This window comes from Homo sapiens, chromosome 2 (assembly GCF_000001405.40).
Source record: "Homo sapiens chromosome 2, GRCh38.p14 Primary Assembly".
NCBI lineage: Eukaryota > Metazoa > Chordata > Mammalia > Primates > Hominidae > Homo > Homo sapiens.
The window spans coordinates 92,065,678-92,084,358 of NC_000002.12; the positions used below are offsets into that span (position 1 = coordinate 92,065,678).

The following is an 18,681-nucleotide window of genomic DNA, read 5'->3' on the forward strand; positions in this document are numbered from 1 at the left end:
AATCTCATGGAATTTTTATTTTAAATATTTATTTTTCATCTATACATGCCCCATTTTTCATTTTATAACTTCTATTTTTCTCCTATGTTCAATTTTCATTTAAGTACCTTGACATATATATGTATTTATCTATATGTATTTATAAAATATATTTTCTTTAAGGACCTTGAAATTTCCTTCTTTTCTGTCATTTATAAATGACTTATTTTTATCCTGTTAATATATATCTTAATTATATATATCTTACGGCTTATTTGCATGTCAGAGATTTTTTTGTGGGTATTTTGATGTTATGCTATTGAATATCTAGATTTTATTGGCTACCTTTGAACAATGTTGTGGCAGGCAGTTCAGTAACTTCAGGATGAGTATTTGTCTGTTGTTGTTTTAAATCTTCTCTTTAAACTTTGTGGAGTTAGTCTAGAGCCATCTGTAATTTGGAGCTAAATGAGCACTGTCACTAGGGCATGAACCTCCAGTGGTCTTTACTGAATATCCTGGAGGTAAAGAGGGGATTCCCTTCTCTGATTAGAATTTGGAATATAAAGAGAAAAGAGAAAAATAGAAAGCTATGCATAAACACGTGCATTAAAATGAATTTTATGTGGGCTTTTTCATGAAAATGTTCCTAAGGTATTTTTTTTTAATTGTGGTAAAATACACATAACATAAAATGTACTCTGTTAACCATTTTAAGTGTACAGTTTAGTGGTACTAAATATAGTCATAACATTTGGCAGCCGTCCCTACCATCCATCTCCATAATTCGTTTCATCTTGTAAAACTGAAACTCTATAACAATTAAACAATACTTCCCCATTTCTTCCTCCCCCCAGCTTCTGCCAACCATCATTGTACCATCTCTATGATTCTGACCACTTTAATACAAATGGAATTATACTGTATTTGTCCTTCACTGACTAACTTATTTCACTTGGCATAACATCCTCAAGTTTCATCCAAGTTGCAACATACGTCAGAATATTTCCCTCATGTTTAAGGCTGAATAATATTCCATTGTATGCATATATCATATTGTGCTTATCCATTCATCTGTAGTTGGACACTTCAATTGCTTCTAAGTTTTAGCTATTGCCAATAACGTTGCTGCAAACATGGATGTGCAAATATTTTTTCAAGAGTCTGCTTTCAATTCTTTTACTATCCTGAGATGTGGTGCTGCTGAATCATATGGCAATACCATTTTGATGTTTTGAGGAACTACCATACTCTTTTCCACAGCAAACATAGCGTTTGGCATTCCCTCCAATACTGCAAAACGAATCGCCACATCCTTGTCTGTGGATTTTATTCACAAGTCCTGTGGCTCTCTCTACATCCCGGCCACCATGTGTTATTTTCTGTTTATGTATATGACATCAAAGGTGCAGGAAGTAATGAACTAAATTGGAAGGATAAACATGTAGAAAAATAGAGGTAAATACTGACTACATAAAACCATAAGAATAAGAATTTTGGATGATCTATCTATTATATACCTATTTATCTAACAGCTATCTGTTCCTCCATCTGTAATTAAAATATATTACAGTTAGAGAACAGAGGAAAAAGTAGGAATACATGAATTTAAATTTTAATTCTTCTTAGATTGTCTCACAGCATCATTATAGGAAAGAAAATTTATAGGTCAATATCTGTTAACTATAAATGTAACATTCTTAAAGAATTCAAATACATTAAATTACAGCATGAATAATATATTACAATCCATTCAAGTTTATTTTATTCCAGGAACACAAAAATACAAATTTCATTTGCAATTCAAAAAAAAACAGAAATCGATACATATGATTGATGTATGTACACACTTAATGTATTTTTAAATATACATTTTTAAAAAATAGAAATTTTTCTAGGGCAAATACTTAATATATCACTGAAAGTAGTGTTATTAGCTAATACTTTCCTAATAACTCTGGTATTACATAAGAAACAAAAATTAAAATTTCAGGTAAACTTAGAAACTAAAAATTTTAAAAATATTATTCTGTTATCCATATGTTCATATTTAATATTATTTCTTGTTTTCATTCGTCTTCAGTGTTGCTCTACTAAAATATAACATACAATACTAACTTTTGATTTCTGTTCTTATTACTCAGAATTGTATACATTTTCTCATGCTCTTAATTTAGTTATGCTACTTTTCTGTACTCTTGGAATTTTCACATTTGTGTTCACTCTCTTTTGAGTAACCATAGTATCAAATGAGCTTTTTTCCCTCTTTCTGATTTGAAGATTCATCTTCTCATAATTATTTTGTCCACTCAGTTTTTTTTTCATTCTCAGTTAAGCGCCTCTCATCTGGCTTCTTTTCATTTATAAGGTTTCCTTTCATCTTAAGCCAGTCTTTCATTTATATTTTGATTCTGTTTTGTGGAGGACATGCTTCCCTGAATTTTATGGAAGAGGCCAAAAGGTTTGTTCATGTTTTTACCTGATACATTGGATTAAATTATCTAATGCACACACTTTTAATTTAAGTCTAGGGGCAACTGTCTACTCTTGATTTTGTATAGTATTATTTTTCTTAACATCCAAGTCCATCTTCATCTATTTGTATAAGATCAATAAAAATATATTTGTCCAGAACCCTGCTTTGGCGGAGTTACTTCTTTCTAAGTAGTAGAGGTAGCAGTTGAGACATGAGCTGGGTTCTGGGTCAGTTTAGAGGGCTGGGCGACATTCCTCCTTTTGGTCTGTATGACTGAATGAATGTAGTTCTTGCTGTCTCGCTCCTCTCCTTAACACATTGAGCCATTGCAGCAGATAAGAAGGAATAATCTTGATCTGCCATTCAGGTGGAACACATGTTCTCTCCAACCACACCCATAGGTTGTACTCACACTCGGCCAGAAGGTATCCTGTCAATGATATGGAGATGTATCTATCTAGATAGATATCTACTTTGGTTTATGCTCTCTGGTTGCCCGTAAATTATCTCCTTAAAGTGAATATCAAAAGAGAGCTTGGTGATGACAGTATTATAAAATCCTCAGAATGCAGCACCCATACCCAGAGGAATTTGTAGATTCTGAGATTCTAATTCAGATACCAAACTATATAAAAGGGGAATTGGTAATTGAGGGTTGCTAGGCTCTTTGTTGAGCATATATGCTCTTTTCATGACTTCGAAATTATTTTAAAAATCTAAACTTTTTCTCAGTGTGCTCCAAGATGATTTCATTTGAATGCATAAGCACTAATTCTCCCCTAAGATTTGTACAATATATTTGTTCTGACAAGCGATAGCCAGCAACTCACTTCACAGCAATTTACAGCATTTCCATGATAAGTTGAATTATTTTTAACTAGACTCTCTTTGCCTTAATAAAAATATGAAGAAGCAATATACTTGTTCTAATTAGGTTCAAAAGTTGGCAGTCTCTCTCCTGGAAAGAACAGTAAAACTTTTCAGCGGCCTAATACGCATGTATAAACACACACACACACACACACACACACGCAAGCACTATTCATAATATTTAAAGCACATTCTGTTATATGACTTCATTTGTCTAGCACAAAATAAAACGATCTCAGTATATGTCAAGTATCAATTTTTTCGTATGGCCAATTATTGATATTTTATTTCTTAAAGATTAGAGTGTTCTTGAATCTCTTTCTATTTCTTTGTCAATGAACTAAACATTGGCAAATATGTAGGGTTTCCCACATAAGAACATTATTAACATCAAAATAGAAAGCTGGTGGTAGAAATAAAGATTGGGAACAGAGTCTCTACTCAACGTTCTAGTTCTGCCATACCATAACTTTGTGATCTCAGGAAATATCTCTCCATGTTGTCATCTCAATGTATAGTTCTGTCATTTTTCAATAAGAGCTTTTTGCTTAATTATGAAGTACTAGTTACTATAACCATTATTTTGAGCTTCATGTAAATCAAGAACACATGGACTCCACTTGCAAAACATCGAAAATGTAGTAGGGATTGGGGGCATCAAGCAACATTTTAAAATGTGTAAAGACAATGAGTAAGCAACAAAGTGTCCAATTTTTTAGGGGAAAGTTGCATACGTTAGGAAAAGGCAGGATTAAGTAACAGAGAATTTGAATGATAACTGGCCAATTGGTGTCATTTACAATTGCAAGTCATACAAATGAAGTTTTCTGTTTTAAAGAGAAAAGGAGTTATTTAGAATGGGTCAACCTATTGGGGAAGCAATGTAGTTAGAGACAATTCCCAAAACCATGTGAGCAAATGCTCTGTAGAGCGCACCAATGCAATGCTGCCATTGTGAGGCCAAGTCTCTCCTCGTCTTGGTACTGAGCCCTCCGTTCTGCCTCCATCATTGCCACTGTAGCTGCCATAAAATGATCCCTCAACCACGCTGCCCAGAAACAAAGAAAGAATTCTGTCCTTCCGCGCTCTCATATCAATTTCCAACATCAGGTGAGCCTTTGATGGGCACTATTCAGTTCCCTTATCCCTGAAATAGATGCAGTAAAAATATAGAAATTGCCTATGTGTTTCCCAATAAGACACATATGGAAGCCTGTTTTCCCACAACAGGGAGGAGTTTGCACAATGGGTGTTCAAAGGAACAATATTCCCTGTAAACCATACTTTGCCCATATGAAGAAAAGCAATAAGGATTATTTAGTAAATAGACATGGAAACTCATCCAGGGTTGGCTGATGAGAAGCTGGTTAGCAAAGTGGTCTGCCTTCAGTTAGGACAAGGTCTGTGCTTCCCACGGGTTCTCTCCACAGCAGGAGGGATGCAAACTTCCCTTTCCTCCCCTGCACCTACCCTCAAATGGCCCAGAGGTCTTCAGGTGCTAGAATTTCTCAATTAATGCTGCACAAAATATCAGACAGCCTTGGCTGTCACAGTCTGTTCTCATGAAGCTAGTCTCCACTCACTACATAAAACAGGAGAGTAAGAACAAGGGTGTTTAACGCTACCCTAGCTCAAACAAGTTTCTCTCTGTATTATGTCAAGAACCTGGGAACCAGTGCATCTTCTGCTTTCCCTTCTTGGATTCTAGCCCAGACAAAAGAGGCAAGGGGCATTTCTTCAGAGGCTTTGAGCTTCACTACACAATGACCCAGGCTCTACATGCACCCTCTTTATATATTTCTACCTTGAAAAAAAAATTTTATATAATATTAATAATATATATTTTTATATAATAAACACATTTTTTATAGATAGATATAGATATACATAGATAAAGATTTCTAGTCAGACTTTTTAAAGGCTGGGCTGATCGCGGTGCCTCAAAACTATAATCCCAGCACTTTGGGAGGCCAAGGTGGCCAGATCTCTTGAGTCCAGGAGTTGGAGATCAGCCAGGGCAACATGGTGAAACCCCATCTTCACAAAAATTAGCTAGTATGGTGTCATGCACCTGCAGTCCCTGCTACTCAGGAGGCTGAGGTGGGAGAATCGCTTGAGCACAGTATGTGAAGGCTTCAGTGAGCTCTAATCATATGACTGCACTACATCTTGGGTGACAAAGTGAGACCCTCTCTCAAAAATAAAAAAAGTAAAATAAAAAGGCTACCACCATACTCACAGATAAGTGTGTCAGGTATATTTGCAGCTATCCTTCCTATATTCTATTTGGTAAAAAAAAAAAAATGCAAAGAACTCTTCTCATTCTAGATTTTTGTATTAATTAGACATTTGAAGTTTATAGCAGAAGAGCTATAATCATTTTTGGTATGTGTACTCTATAGAACAGATAGTGCAAACAGATATCAATGCTTTTTAAAAGTATATAAGGTTATTAGAAATATTTTAAACTACCTATAGGTATATATGTATCTAATTGAACTATCAAATGCAAGTAAGATCATTTCCTTAGCGTGTGAAATCCACTCAATTTATTAAAATATTTTCTAATATCTATTACAATAATATTTCTTAATTAGCTAACATAAGAGGAGTTTTAAGACATTTATTTATATGTACTTACTAGATTCAAACTCGATTCCACTATTTTCAGAAATCATACTCTGAGACAAGTCCTTTTTTTATCTAACTATGTTTCTGCCTATATTAAAAGACAGATATGTCAATTTTGCTAGTCATGCTGTTCCAAAGCTCTCCATCCTGATTATTTTTTGGTTTGTTCTAGCAGTCATTCAGAGACTTACTTATATTCAAATTTCTCTCTAGGTTTAACATTCATGTATGTCTTGTTGTGGTTTTGTCTATTTTTGCTGTATATAATTTAAGACATTTTATTGACATATACATGCAGAAAAGTACAATGATTAAATATGATAGCTTGATTAATGAAACACATGTATTTGCTTATAGCCATGTACGAAAATAGAACATTACTAAAAATAGTGATATTTCTCCTGTCCCTTTCCAAACACTAACCCTCATCCTCAATAGTAACAGATTTTTTTTTAACATAGAGTAATTTGGTCTACTTTCAAATTTTTATTAAATAAATCAGAGTATCTACTCTAAGTCTATGTTTATTTCATTGTTGTTATTTTGCTTGTAGTATTTATCTGCTAATGGACATGGTAGAATGAAGACGGCTACATACACATTTTTTAATTAATAGATTTTTTGAGCCCTTTGTGGCTCATGCCTTTAATCCCATCACTTTGGGAGGCTGAGGTGCGTGGATCATGAGGTCAGGAGATCCAGACAATCCTGGCCAACGTGGTAAAACCCCTTCTCTACTAAAATACAAAAAATTAGCTGATAGATAACATCAAGTTCACATCTGAGTTCTTAGCTGCACTGAGTCAAGCCTACTTACATCTTTGTCTTCCGCTGCACTTTTCCTTCCACATCACAGTCCAGGAATGCCTAGCTCTGTTGGCCTTCTACTCCATTTCCACTATTGTGCCCCTGCCACCGAGGCTTTTTGCCGCCACTGCCGCGGGTTTTTGCCTCTGCTGCTTTTTGCCACCGCCGCCGCGGCTTTTTGCTCCCAACGCTGGGGCTTTTTGCGGCTCTTTGACCCACCACCGGAGCTTTTTGTGGCTTTTTGCGCCCGCCGCCGTGCCTTTTTGCCCCCGCGACTGCGGCTTTTTCCCCCGCCTCGCGGCTTTCTGCCCCCGCCATTGTGGCTTTTCATCACCACTGCCACGGCTTTTTGCCCCCGCCGCTGCGGGTTTCTCCCGCCACAGATTTTGCCCCTGCCGCCGTGGCTTCTTACCCCCACCGCCGTGGAATTTTGCCCCCCGTCACCATGGCTTTTTGCGGCTTTTTGCCACTGCAGCTCTTTGCCCCTGAAGCCACGGCTTTTTGCCCTTGGTGCTGTGGCTTTTTGCGGCTTTTTGCCCCCGCCAATATGGCTTTTTGCTGCTGTGGCTCTTTGCCTCTGAAGCCACAGCTTTTTGCCCCTGTCGCCACGGGTTTTTGCCCCCGTGGCTTTTTGCTGACACGGCTTTTTGCCGCCGCCGCCATGGCTTTTTGCTCCTGCTGCTGAGGCTTTTTGCCGCCGCGGTTTTTGCCCCCGCCGCTGCTGCTTTTTGGGGCTTTTTGCCCCCCTACCACCGCGGCTTTTTGCCCCACCCCGCCGCTGCGGCTTTTTGCCCCCGCGGCTTATCCCCCCCGTCACCGCGGGTTTTTGTGGGTTTTTTGCACCCGCTCCCACTGCTTTTTGCCCCCACCGCTGCGGCTTTTTGCCCCACAACTACGGCTTTTTGCCGCCTTGGTTTTTTGCGCCCGAAGCCACAGCTTTTTGCCCTCGCCACCGTGGCTTTTTGCCTGCGCCACCACGGCTTTATGCCCCTGCCGCCGTGGGTTTTTGCCGCCACTGCTTTTTATCCCCACTGCTGCTGCTTTTTGCAGCTGCGGCTTTTTATCCCCACCGCCGTGGCTTTTTGGGCCCACCACCGTGGCTTTTTGCAGCCGCGGCTTTTTGTGCCCGCAGCCGTGGCTTTTTGTTCCTGCTGCTGAGGCTTTTTGCCACCGCAGTTTTTGCCCCCACTGCCGTGGCTTTTTGCTCCTGCCGCTGAGGCTTTTTGCCGCCGTGGTTTTTGCCCCCACCGCTGCTGCTTTTTGCGGCTTTATTCCCCCCGCCGCCGGGGCTTTTTGCCCCCTCAGCTATTTCCCCCCGTTGCTGCGGGTTTTTGTGGTTTTTCCACCCCCGCCGCTGCCGCGGCTTTTTGCCCCGCCGCTATGGCTTTTTGCCCCTGAAGCCACAGCTTTTTGCCCTCGCTGCTGCGGCTTTTTGCCCCACCGCTACAGCTTTTTGCCCCTGAAGCCACAGCTTTTTGCCCTTGCCGCCGCGGCTTTTTGCGGCATTTTACTATCCGCCACGGTGGCTTTTTGTCCCCACTGTGGCTTTTTATCCCCATCGCCATGGCTTTTTGGGCCCTCCGCCGTGGCTTTTTGCAGTCACAGCTTTTTATCCCCACCACCGAGGCTTTTTGAGCCCACCACCACGGCTTTTTCAGCCGCGGCTTTTTGCCCCCACCACCGTGGCTTTTGGCTCCTGCCACTGAGGCTTTTTGCCGCCGCGCTTTTTGCCCCTACCGCCGCTGCTTTTTGCGGCTTTTTGCACCCCGCCAGGGCGGCTTTTTTCCCCCGTGAATTTTTCCCCCTTCTAAGCAGGTTTTTGTGATTTTTTTGGCCCCGCTCCTGCTGCTTTTTGCCCCCACCGCCGCAGCTTTTTGCCCCACCGCTACGGTTTTTTGCCACTGTGGCTTTTTGCCCCTGAAGCCACAGCTTTTTACCCTCGCCACCGCGGCTTTTTGTGGCTTTTCGCCCCCGCCGCTGAGGCTTTTTGCCGCCGCGGTGTTTGTTCCCACCACCGCTGCTTTTTGCGGCTTTTTGCCCCCTGCCGCCACGGCTTTTTGCCCCTGCCACTATGGCTTTTTGCCCCTGCAGCTTTTTGCCCCTGAAGCCACGGCTTTTTGCACTCACCGCTGCGGCTTTTTGCACCCGCCACTGGGGCTATTTGTCCCCGCTTCCGCGGATTTATGCCACCGCTGTTTTTTCCCCCACCACCGCGGGTTTTTGACCCTGCCGCCGTGGGTTTTTGCCGCCGCGGCTTTTTTTTTAACCGCCACCGCCACAGCTTTTTGTCCCCGCCACCGCGGTTTTTCACCTCCGCCACCGAGGCTTTTTGCCCCCACCGCCTTGGCTTTTTGCAGGTTTTCACCCCCGTCGCTGCAGCTTTTTTGCCCCCTGCCACCGTGGCTTTTTCCCCCAGCCTCCGCGGCTTTTTGTGTTTTTTTTGCCCCCACTCCCGCTCCTTTTTGCCTTCACCTCAGCGGCTTTTTACCCCCCTCAGCGCGGCTTTTTGCCCCCACCGCTGCATCTTTCTCCAACCGCCACCATGGCTTTTTGCCCCTGCCGCCGCGCCTTTTTGCCGCCGTGGCCTTTTGCCCCCGCTGCCTTTGGAACCTTAATTTCACTTGAAATCTAATTTCCCACTGCCATGCAACCTAACATATTTGTATGTTAGACTCTGGGAATTAAGACATGAACATTTCTGGGAGGCCATTATTTTGTCTACAACAGACATAATCTATTTACCTGCAGATTAAAGTGTTCTTTATTTTTCTGCCTCTCTTTCTTAATTTTTTTTAAATAATATGAATTGTAGTAAAGAGAAAGAAAAGAAAGAAAAAAGAAGGAAGGAAGGAAAGAAGAAAGAAAAGGAGGAAATGAGAGAAGGGAGGGAGGAAGGGAGAAAGGCAGGAAAGGAGAAAAAACAAAGCAAGAACTCAAGAAAGAAAAAGAAAGAAAGTGAGAAAAGAAGGAAAGAGGAAGGAAAGGAGGAAAGGAGAACGGTAAAATGGAGGAAGGCAAACAAAAAAATAGAAAGGAGGAAGGAAGCAAAAAGGAAAGGAAGGGAGGGAGGAAGGAAAAAAGGGAGGGAGGAAGGGAGAAAAAGGAAAAAAGGGAGGGAGGAAGGGAGAAAAAGGAAAGAAAGTGAGAAAGAGTAAGAGAAAAGAAGGAAGAAAAGGGAGGGAGAAAGCAAGGGAGGGAGGAGGGAAGGAAGAATAAGGGGAAGGAAAGAAGGAAGGAAGGAGAAAAATGAAAGGAAAAGAAAGCGGAAAAGAAGAAAGGAAGGAAGAAGGCAAGGGAAGAGGAGAAAGGAAGATGGAAAGAAGGAAGGAAGAACGCAAATATTATAAATTCTGGGTTTGTTAGAGAATATGCCATACTATTTTTTTTTTCACTTGAAAGGAAAGAGTATCTGACATTGAAGATTGGATGTCTTGTTGGTGATATTGTTGTTCTTATCTTCCATATGATTACTGAGTTGGTGCCTAGTCTGTCCATTACTAAGACAAAAGTGTTGAAGTGTGCAAATATAATTTTGGATTTTTCTAGTTCGCCTTTGATTTCTTTCCTGTTTTACCTCATGTATTTGGAGGTTCTGTTATTAGCTGCGTACCCTAATTAGTAGGATGTTTACATCTTGAGAATTGATTATTATATTATTTATTATCTCTCATCTCTGATACTATTTCTTGTTCTGAACTCTGTTGTGTCTAGTATCAATGTAGTCCTTCCACAGCTTTATTTTAGTGTCTCCATGATACGGCTTTCTCCATATCTTGATGATAACCTATTTATATCTCTATATATTTGGAGCAAGATATAATATTTAGACTTGATTTTTTAAAGATTTTTCAAGATGGAATTCTTATTTCTTTTTGTTCTATTTGACATTCTCTGAGTTTCCTTTATCTGAAGTTTGATTTTCTGTCACTTCTTTTAGAATATTTTTGGCAGTTATTTTGAAATATATTTCTTTTGCTCCATTATTTTTCCCTCTTTTCTTTTTGGGATTTCAATCATAACTAGAGTAGGTAATTTCATCTCAGTCTTATGCAGGTACTTTTTCTCAGGGTCTCAGGAATGTAGCCTTCTCACACTTCTGTTCTTTTCCTGGCTGTGTTGGTGAGCTCAGTGATATTCCTCCTTCACCTTCAAGAGCAGTTTTGTTTTGTTTTTCCTGTTTTCATACTCCCAGTATCAGGAGTATTCTAAGTGTGGCAGTTTTTGTTGCCTTCCCCTACATATTAAGTGGAATATCTCGGTCTATTTGGACTCTTATGACAAAATAACATAAGCTGGGTGACTAAAAAACAACAGATATTTCTTTTTTCACACTTCTTGAGGCTGTAAGATCTCAGGTCAAGATGCTCCCAAATTCAGTGTTGATGAGAGCCCATTTCATGGTTCATAGATGGTGCCTTCTTTCTATGTCCTCACACAGTGGAAGGCACACAAGAACTCCATTGAGCTTCTTTTATAAAGGCACTAATCCGATTCATAAGGGCTCGGCCCCCAAGACCTGGTCACCTCCCAAGTGTTCTGCTCTCCCTGACCTGTATCATATACAGACTCTCTTGGATTCCTTACCAATTGCCTGAGACATCACAGTGGGTTTGTGGGGAAAACGTTTTCAAGATGATGGATCTTTCCCAACTTCTGCAGCTGTCAGCGGTCTCCCAATCTGACCAGCCCCACTTTGTCTTTAGGAATTTATTGATTATTCCAGCTTTACTTGTCATAGTGGTGTCTATTTGCATCTGTCCTATGTAAGTGTATCTGTCCTTTTTCTCCTTGCAGGTGCAAGTACTCAGGAGTACACTGTTGTTACTAATTACTCAGTATTGGTTGGTACACTGTCAAAGATCAAAAAACATTTTTAAAGATAAAAACAATTATTGGTAGTTGTGTAATGAAGGGTTAATTCTGCAGAGATGGCTTTCCAAAACCTTGCACATTCCAAAGGTCTTCAGGACTGGCCCTTGACAAGCTCCTGGGAGATGATAACCTATGAGCCCTTGGTATATGCTGCCTGATGAGAGTCTTTGTATACCTGAAAACGTAGGTCATACCAAATAACTGATGGTAACAACGTGATTTCTTGTGAGCACCTGTTTCTGTATGCCTATGACTTTGTGTAATGCCATATTAATATGACCTCTCTTAGGGCATAGGGAGGTTGGGAACTAAATAGCTAAGTTCAGTCACAGGACGCTCGATGCGTATGTGGTGGAATCCTAATAAAAACCCTGGACTCAAGACTGACTGAGCTTCCCTAGTTGGCAACAAGTTCACACATGTTGTCTCACACCATTGTAAAGAAAATTAGTCAGTGTGAAGTCTCCACTATGAAAGGACACCTGTAAGCTCACATCTGGTTTGTCCTGGACTCAATTTTATGTGCTTTTATGCTTCTGATTATTTTAATCTGGTTTCTTTCACTGTTAGAAACTATAACCACAAAAGAAAAATCAGCTTTCTTGAGTTATGTGAATCATTAAACCAAAGGGGGACTTGGGAAACCCCAATAAAAAGTATATATATTCTTAAAAAGAAAAAGAAAACTGGCTATAGCAGATATTGCTGATGACTTGTCTTCTATGTCCTGGACTCAATGTGTTCACCTGAAATTCACCTGTTTCCAGCTAACTGAGAGCTCCCCACATCATGCCTGTCTTTCTGATTTTTGGGCTTGCCTGCAAGCTTCTTGAGGCTAACCAGTGCTTCTCAACCACACATAGGAACAAGGAAGGAGTTAGGGGTGGAGAGTTAATGATTCTAAGGCAATCCTTAAGCAATAAGAGATGGGGATTCCACCATCCCCATCTCTTTGTAAAGTTATTTTGAGACAATCTCCATACCTCCATCATTACTGAGCACATAGCAGTAACTACTCATTCACACTGGCTTCATGTTCTGTTTCATTTTCTCCACTTCTGCGCTTTCTCACTCAATTTCTGATTAAAGAATTTGACCCCAAATATTTGTTTCATAGTCTATTTATGAGGGAATCCAGAGCCAAGACAATAACAATGGGAGCTTTGCAATGAGGGAGGGTGAGTATAATCATCAGAAGTTTACCTACCTCACTGGGAGCATGAAGGCCTGGAGAGCTTGATGTTTCAATGAGAGAAACATGTTGAATCTCAGTTGAATACCTATATATATATATGCAATAAGACGTGCCCTTTACTTATATCTAAGGAAAGTGCTCTTTACCCCTCTTTGTTGTTGTGTTTTTACCACTATTGCCTACACAAGCAGAATATCATACCCAGGATTTAAAGCCCTCACTGCAGGATTTTCAAGCTCATGTTTTCATCATCAGTCACTCTGCTTCCATGTGTTTTAAATCTAATCCTCATTCATCTGCTTTTACACCAGAGAATTCATCACTGACTTATTTTTGACTGACCTCCTTATAGAGCTGTCAAGTACACAATTTCTGCTGTGACCTTTCTCTTAGAGCTCAGTCATATAGCCTCTCAGTAGATATCATTTCCTCTTATCTTTCCTAATGAATTGTCAGTTAAAACTCAATATTTTTAAGATTGAGCTTACCATCTGCACACACACACACACACACCATCATTGGTGTATTCTCATAACCTTGAAACACTAACGTCACGTTGATGTCTGCCTTTTCTTTCTCTGCTACCTCATTCCTCATCCTTAGATTATTCTAAAAGATTCAATTAGATCAAGTTGGCTAATTATATTTTTAAGATCCTCTCTACGCTTACCAACTTTTCGTTTAACAAAATTTAAATATTTATGGCAGGAGACTGTTGAAATCCCCATGGATGACTGTGGTTTTACTATTTTACCTTTCAGTTTTAATAGGTTTTATATTATGTATTTTGAAGTAATGCTATTGTGTGCATACATATTTCTTATTTACATGACTTCTTGATGTATTTTCCCCTTTGTCATTTTGAAATGTTATTCTTCATCCCCAGTGATATTTCCTGTTCTGATGTCTACTTTGCTCATCACAGTTTTAGGGGCTTTTGGTTTGTTTGTTTTTCTAATTTTGGTTCAAGTAAGTTTCTTATAAATCTCTTCAATTCCATTTGATGATTCCATTTGATTCCATTAGAGGATTCCACTCAATTCCATTCGATGATGATTCCATTCGAGTCCATTCAATGATTCCATTCGAGTCCATTTGATGATTCCATTCGATTCCATTCGACGATGATTCCATTAGAGTCCATTCAATGATTCAATTCAATTCCATTCGATTCCATTCGATGATGATTCCATTAGAGTCCATTCGAGGATTCCATTCAATTCCATACGACGATGTTTCCATTCGAGTCCATTCGATGATTCCATTCGAGTCCATTCGATGATTCCATCTGATTCCATTCAATGAGGACACAATTCGAGTCCCTTTGTTGATTTCATTTGATTCCGTTCTATGATGACTGCATTCGGTTCCATTTGATGATGATTCCAATGGATTCCATTCGATTTCTCCATTAGATTCCATTCCTTGCTGATTCCATTCCATTCCATTAGATGATGACTCCACTAGATTCCATTCAATGATGATTTCATTAGACTCCATTTGATGATGATCCAATTTGATTCTATTCAATGATGATTCTATTCGATTCCATTCAATAATTTCATTCGATTCCATTCGAAGATTCCATTCGATTCCATTCAATGGTGATTCCATTTGTGTCCAATCGATGATTCCATTCGATTCCATTCGATGATAATTCCATTTGAGTCCATTCGATGATTCCATTCGATTCCATGCAATGAAGATTCCATCGAGTCCATTCGATGATTTCATTTGATTCCGTTAGATGATGACTGCATTTGGTTCCATGATTCTAACGGACTCCATTTGATGACTCCATTCGATTCCATTCATTGATGATTCCATTCGATTCCATTTCATGATGATTCCATTCAATTCCATTCGATGATGATTCGATTCGATTCCATTTGATGATGATTCCATTCGATTCCATTCAATGATGATTCCATTGGATTCCATTCGATGATTCCATTTGATTACATTCGATGATGATTCCTTTTGGGTCCATTTGATGATTCCATTCTATTACATTCGATGATGATTCCATTTGATTATTCCATTCAACTCCATTTAATGTTTTCTTTCGATTCCACTCAATGTTGATTCCATTTGAGTCCATTCGATGATTCCATTCGAGTGCATTCCATGATTTCATTCGATTCCATTCGAAGCTGATTCCATGCGATTCCATTCAATGATTCCATTTGATTTCATTTGATGATGATTACATTAGATTCCATTCGATGATTCCATTCGAGTCCATTCAATGATTCCATTCGAGTCCATTAAATGATTCCATTTGATTCCATTAGATGATGACTCCATTCAAGTCCATTCAATGATGATTCCATTTGATTCCATTCGATGATTCCATTTGATTCCATTCGATGATTCCGTTGGATTCCATTCTTTGTTTTATTTTGATTCGTTTTGATAATGATTCCATTCTGTTTCATTCAATGATCCCATTTGATTCTATTCGATGATGTTTCCATTCGATTCCATTTGATGATGATTCCATTCGATTCCATTCGATGATTAAATTCGATTCCATTCGAGACCATTCGATGATTCCATTCAATTCCATTCAATAATGATTCCATTCGGGTCCATTCGATGATTCCATTCAAGTCCATTCGATGATTCCATCTGATTCCATTCAATGAATCCATTTGATTCCATTCTATGATGATTCCATTCGTTTCCATCCAAAGATGATTCCATTCGATTCCATTCAATGATTCCATTCGATTCCATTTGATGATAATTCCAATCAATTCCATTCAATGATTCCATTCGATTCCATTCGATGATGAGTCCATCCATTTCTATTTCATGATAATTCCATTCGTTTCAATTCGAAGGTGTTTCCATTCTATTCCATTCGATGTTGATTCCATTAGTTTCCATTGGATGATGATTCCATTCGAGTCCATTCAATGAAGATCACATTTGATTTCATTCCATAATTCTATTCGATTCCATTTGATGATGATTCCATTCGTTTCCATCCGATGATGATTCCATTTGATTCCATTCGATGACTATTCCATTCGAGTCCATTTGATGATTCCATTCGATTCCATTTGATGATGATTGCATTCGAGTCCATGGATTATTCCATTCCATTCCATTCCATTCGATGATTCCAATCGAGTCCATTTGATGATTCTCTTCAATTCCATTCGATAATTCCATTTGATTCCATTTGATGTTGATTCCATTCGAGTCCATTTGATGATTATTCCATTCGATTCTATTTGGTGATTCCATTCGATTCCATTTGATAATGATTCCATTTGAGGCCATTCAATGATTCCATTCAATTCATTCGATGACTCCATTCGATTCCATTCATTGATGATTCCATTCGATTCCATTTGATGATGATTGCATTCGATTTCATTCGATGATGATTCCATGTGATTCCATTCGATGATGACTCCTTTCAGTTCCATTTGATGATGATTCCATTAGGTTCCATTCGAAGATGATTCCATTCGAGTCCATTCGATGATTCCATTCGATGATGATTCCATTCGAGAACATTCATTGGTGATTCCATTCAATTCCATTCATTGATTCCATTCAATTCCATTCGACAATGATTCCAATCGATTCCATTCAAAGATTCCACTCAATTGCACTTGAGGATGATTCCCTTGGATTCCGTTCGATGATTCCATTTGATTCCATTCGATGATGATTGCCTTCAATTCCATTCGATGATTCCATTCGATTCCATTCGAAGATTCCATTCGATTCCATTCAATGATGATTCCGTTCAATTCCATTTGATGTTTCCATTTGATTCTATTCGAGGATTCCATTCGATTCCATTTGATGATGATTCCATTAAAGTCCATTCAATGATTTCATTCGAGTCAATTCAGTGATTCCATTTTAGTCCATTTGATGATTCCATTCAATGATGATTCCCCTAGATTCCATTTGATGATTCCATTCGAGTCCATTCAATAATTCCATTTGACTCCATTAAATCGTTATTCCATCCGATTTAATTCAATGGTTCCATTCGATTCCATTCGATGACAATTCCATTTGATTCCATTCGATGATGTTTCCATTCGATCCCATTCGATGATTAGCCATTCAATTCAATTCCATGATGATTCCATTTGATTCAATTCGATCATGTTTCCATTCGATTCCATTTCACGATGATTCCATTCGAGTCCATGCAATGATGAGTCCATTCAATTCCGTTCATTGATGATTCCATTCGATATCGTTCGATGCTTCTATTCGATTCCAATCAATGATTCCATCTGATTCTGTGCAATGACTCCATTCGATTCCATTCAGTGATGATTTCATTCAATTCCATCCGATGATGATTTCATTTGATTCCATTCGATGATTCCATTCGATTCTATTCGATGATGATTCCAGTCAAATCCATTCGATGATTCCACATGATTCCATTCAATGACTCTGTTCAATCCCATTTGATAATTCCCTTCGATTCCATTCGATGTTCATTTCATTTGATTCCATTCGGTGATTCCATTTGATTCTGTTCAATGATGATTGCATCCGACTTCATTCGATGATGATTCCATTCGAGTCCATTTGATTATTCCATTCGATTCCATTCCATGATGATTGCATTCAAGTCCATTCGATGATTCCATTCGATGCCATTCGATGATTCCATTAGATTCCATTTGATCATGATTCCATTCAATGCCATTCGATGTTTCCATTTGATTCCATTCAACGATGATTCCATTCGAGTCCATTTGATGATTCTGTTTGATTCCATTCGATGATGATTCCATTCGAGTCCATTAGATGATGATTCCATTCTAATCCATTTGATGATTCCATTCGATTCCATTTGATTATGACTGCATTCGGTTCCATCTGATGATGATTCCAACGGATTCCATTCGATTTCTCCATTTGATTCCATTCGTTTATGATTCCATTCATTTCCATTTGATGATGATTCCATTAGATTCCATTCCATGATTATTCCATTCGATTCCATTCAATGACGATTCCATTCGATTCCATTCAATGATGGTTCCATTCGATTCCATTTGATGATTCCATTTGTTTACATTTGATGGTGTTTCCATTCGGGTCCATTCAATGATTAAATTTGATTCCATTCGGTGATGATTCCATTCGAGTACATTCAATGATTCCATTCAAGTCCAGTCGATTATTCCATTTGATTACATTCGATTCCATTCGATGATGATTCCACTTGAGTACATTCAATGATTCCATTCAAGTCCATTGGATGATTCCTTGATTCCTTTTGATTCCATTCAATCATGATTCCATTTGAGTGCATTCAATTATTCCATTCAATTCTACTCAAAGATAATTCCATTCGAGTCCATTAGAGGATTCCATTTGATTCCATGCAATGATGATTCCATCGAGTCCATTTCATGATACCATTTGATACCATTCGATGATGACTGCATTCAGTTCCATTCGATGACGATTCCAACGGACTCCATTCGATGACTGCATTCGACTACATTCATTGATGATTCCATTCGATTCCAATCAACTATGGTTCCATTCAATTTTCTTTCGATGATGATTCCATTCATTTCCATTAGATGATGATTCCATTCAAATCCATTCCACGATGATTCCTTTTGATTCTATTCGATGATTCAATTTGTGTCCATTTGATGCTGATTCCATTCATGTACATTAGATGATTCCATTCATGTCCATTCATGTCCATTCTAGTCCCTTCATAGATTCCATCCAATTCCATTTGATGATGATTCCATTCGAGTCTAATCGATTATTCCATTCGATTCCATTTGATGATTCCATTCAAGTCCATTCGATTATACCATTCGAGTCTATTTGATGA

General features: G+C 39.0%; 5 annotated features.

Annotated features, from left to right (window-relative positions):
- Nucleotides 6,896–7,395: an enhancer, noted in NCBI's record as "H3K4me1 hESC enhancer chr2:92260599-92261098 (GRCh37/hg19 assembly coordinates)". NCBI's record gives its function as "activates a minimal SCP1, AML or CMV promoter by ChIP-STARR-seq in naive H9 embryonic stem cells {active_cell/tissue: H9 hESC(naive)}" and the evidence as "EXISTENCE:reporter gene assay evidence [ECO:0000049][PMID:30033119]".
- Nucleotides 13,668–14,401: an enhancer, noted in NCBI's record as "OCT4-NANOG hESC enhancer chr2:92267371-92268104 (GRCh37/hg19 assembly coordinates)". NCBI's record gives its function as "activates a minimal SCP1, AML or CMV promoter by ChIP-STARR-seq in naive H9 embryonic stem cells {active_cell/tissue: H9 hESC(naive)}" and the evidence as "EXISTENCE:reporter gene assay evidence [ECO:0000049][PMID:30033119]".
- Nucleotides 14,402–15,133: an enhancer, noted in NCBI's record as "OCT4-NANOG hESC enhancer chr2:92268105-92268836 (GRCh37/hg19 assembly coordinates)". NCBI's record gives its function as "activates a minimal SCP1, AML or CMV promoter by ChIP-STARR-seq in naive H9 embryonic stem cells {active_cell/tissue: H9 hESC(naive)}" and the evidence as "EXISTENCE:reporter gene assay evidence [ECO:0000049][PMID:30033119]".
- Nucleotides 15,177–15,735: an enhancer, noted in NCBI's record as "OCT4-NANOG-H3K27ac hESC enhancer chr2:92268880-92269438 (GRCh37/hg19 assembly coordinates)". NCBI's record gives its function as "activates a minimal SCP1, AML or CMV promoter by ChIP-STARR-seq in naive and primed H9 embryonic stem cells {active_cell/tissue: H9 hESC(naive and primed)}" and the evidence as "EXISTENCE:reporter gene assay evidence [ECO:0000049][PMID:30033119]".
- Nucleotides 15,736–16,294: an enhancer, noted in NCBI's record as "OCT4-NANOG-H3K27ac hESC enhancer chr2:92269439-92269997 (GRCh37/hg19 assembly coordinates)". NCBI's record gives its function as "activates a minimal SCP1, AML or CMV promoter by ChIP-STARR-seq in naive and primed H9 embryonic stem cells {active_cell/tissue: H9 hESC(naive and primed)}" and the evidence as "EXISTENCE:reporter gene assay evidence [ECO:0000049][PMID:30033119]".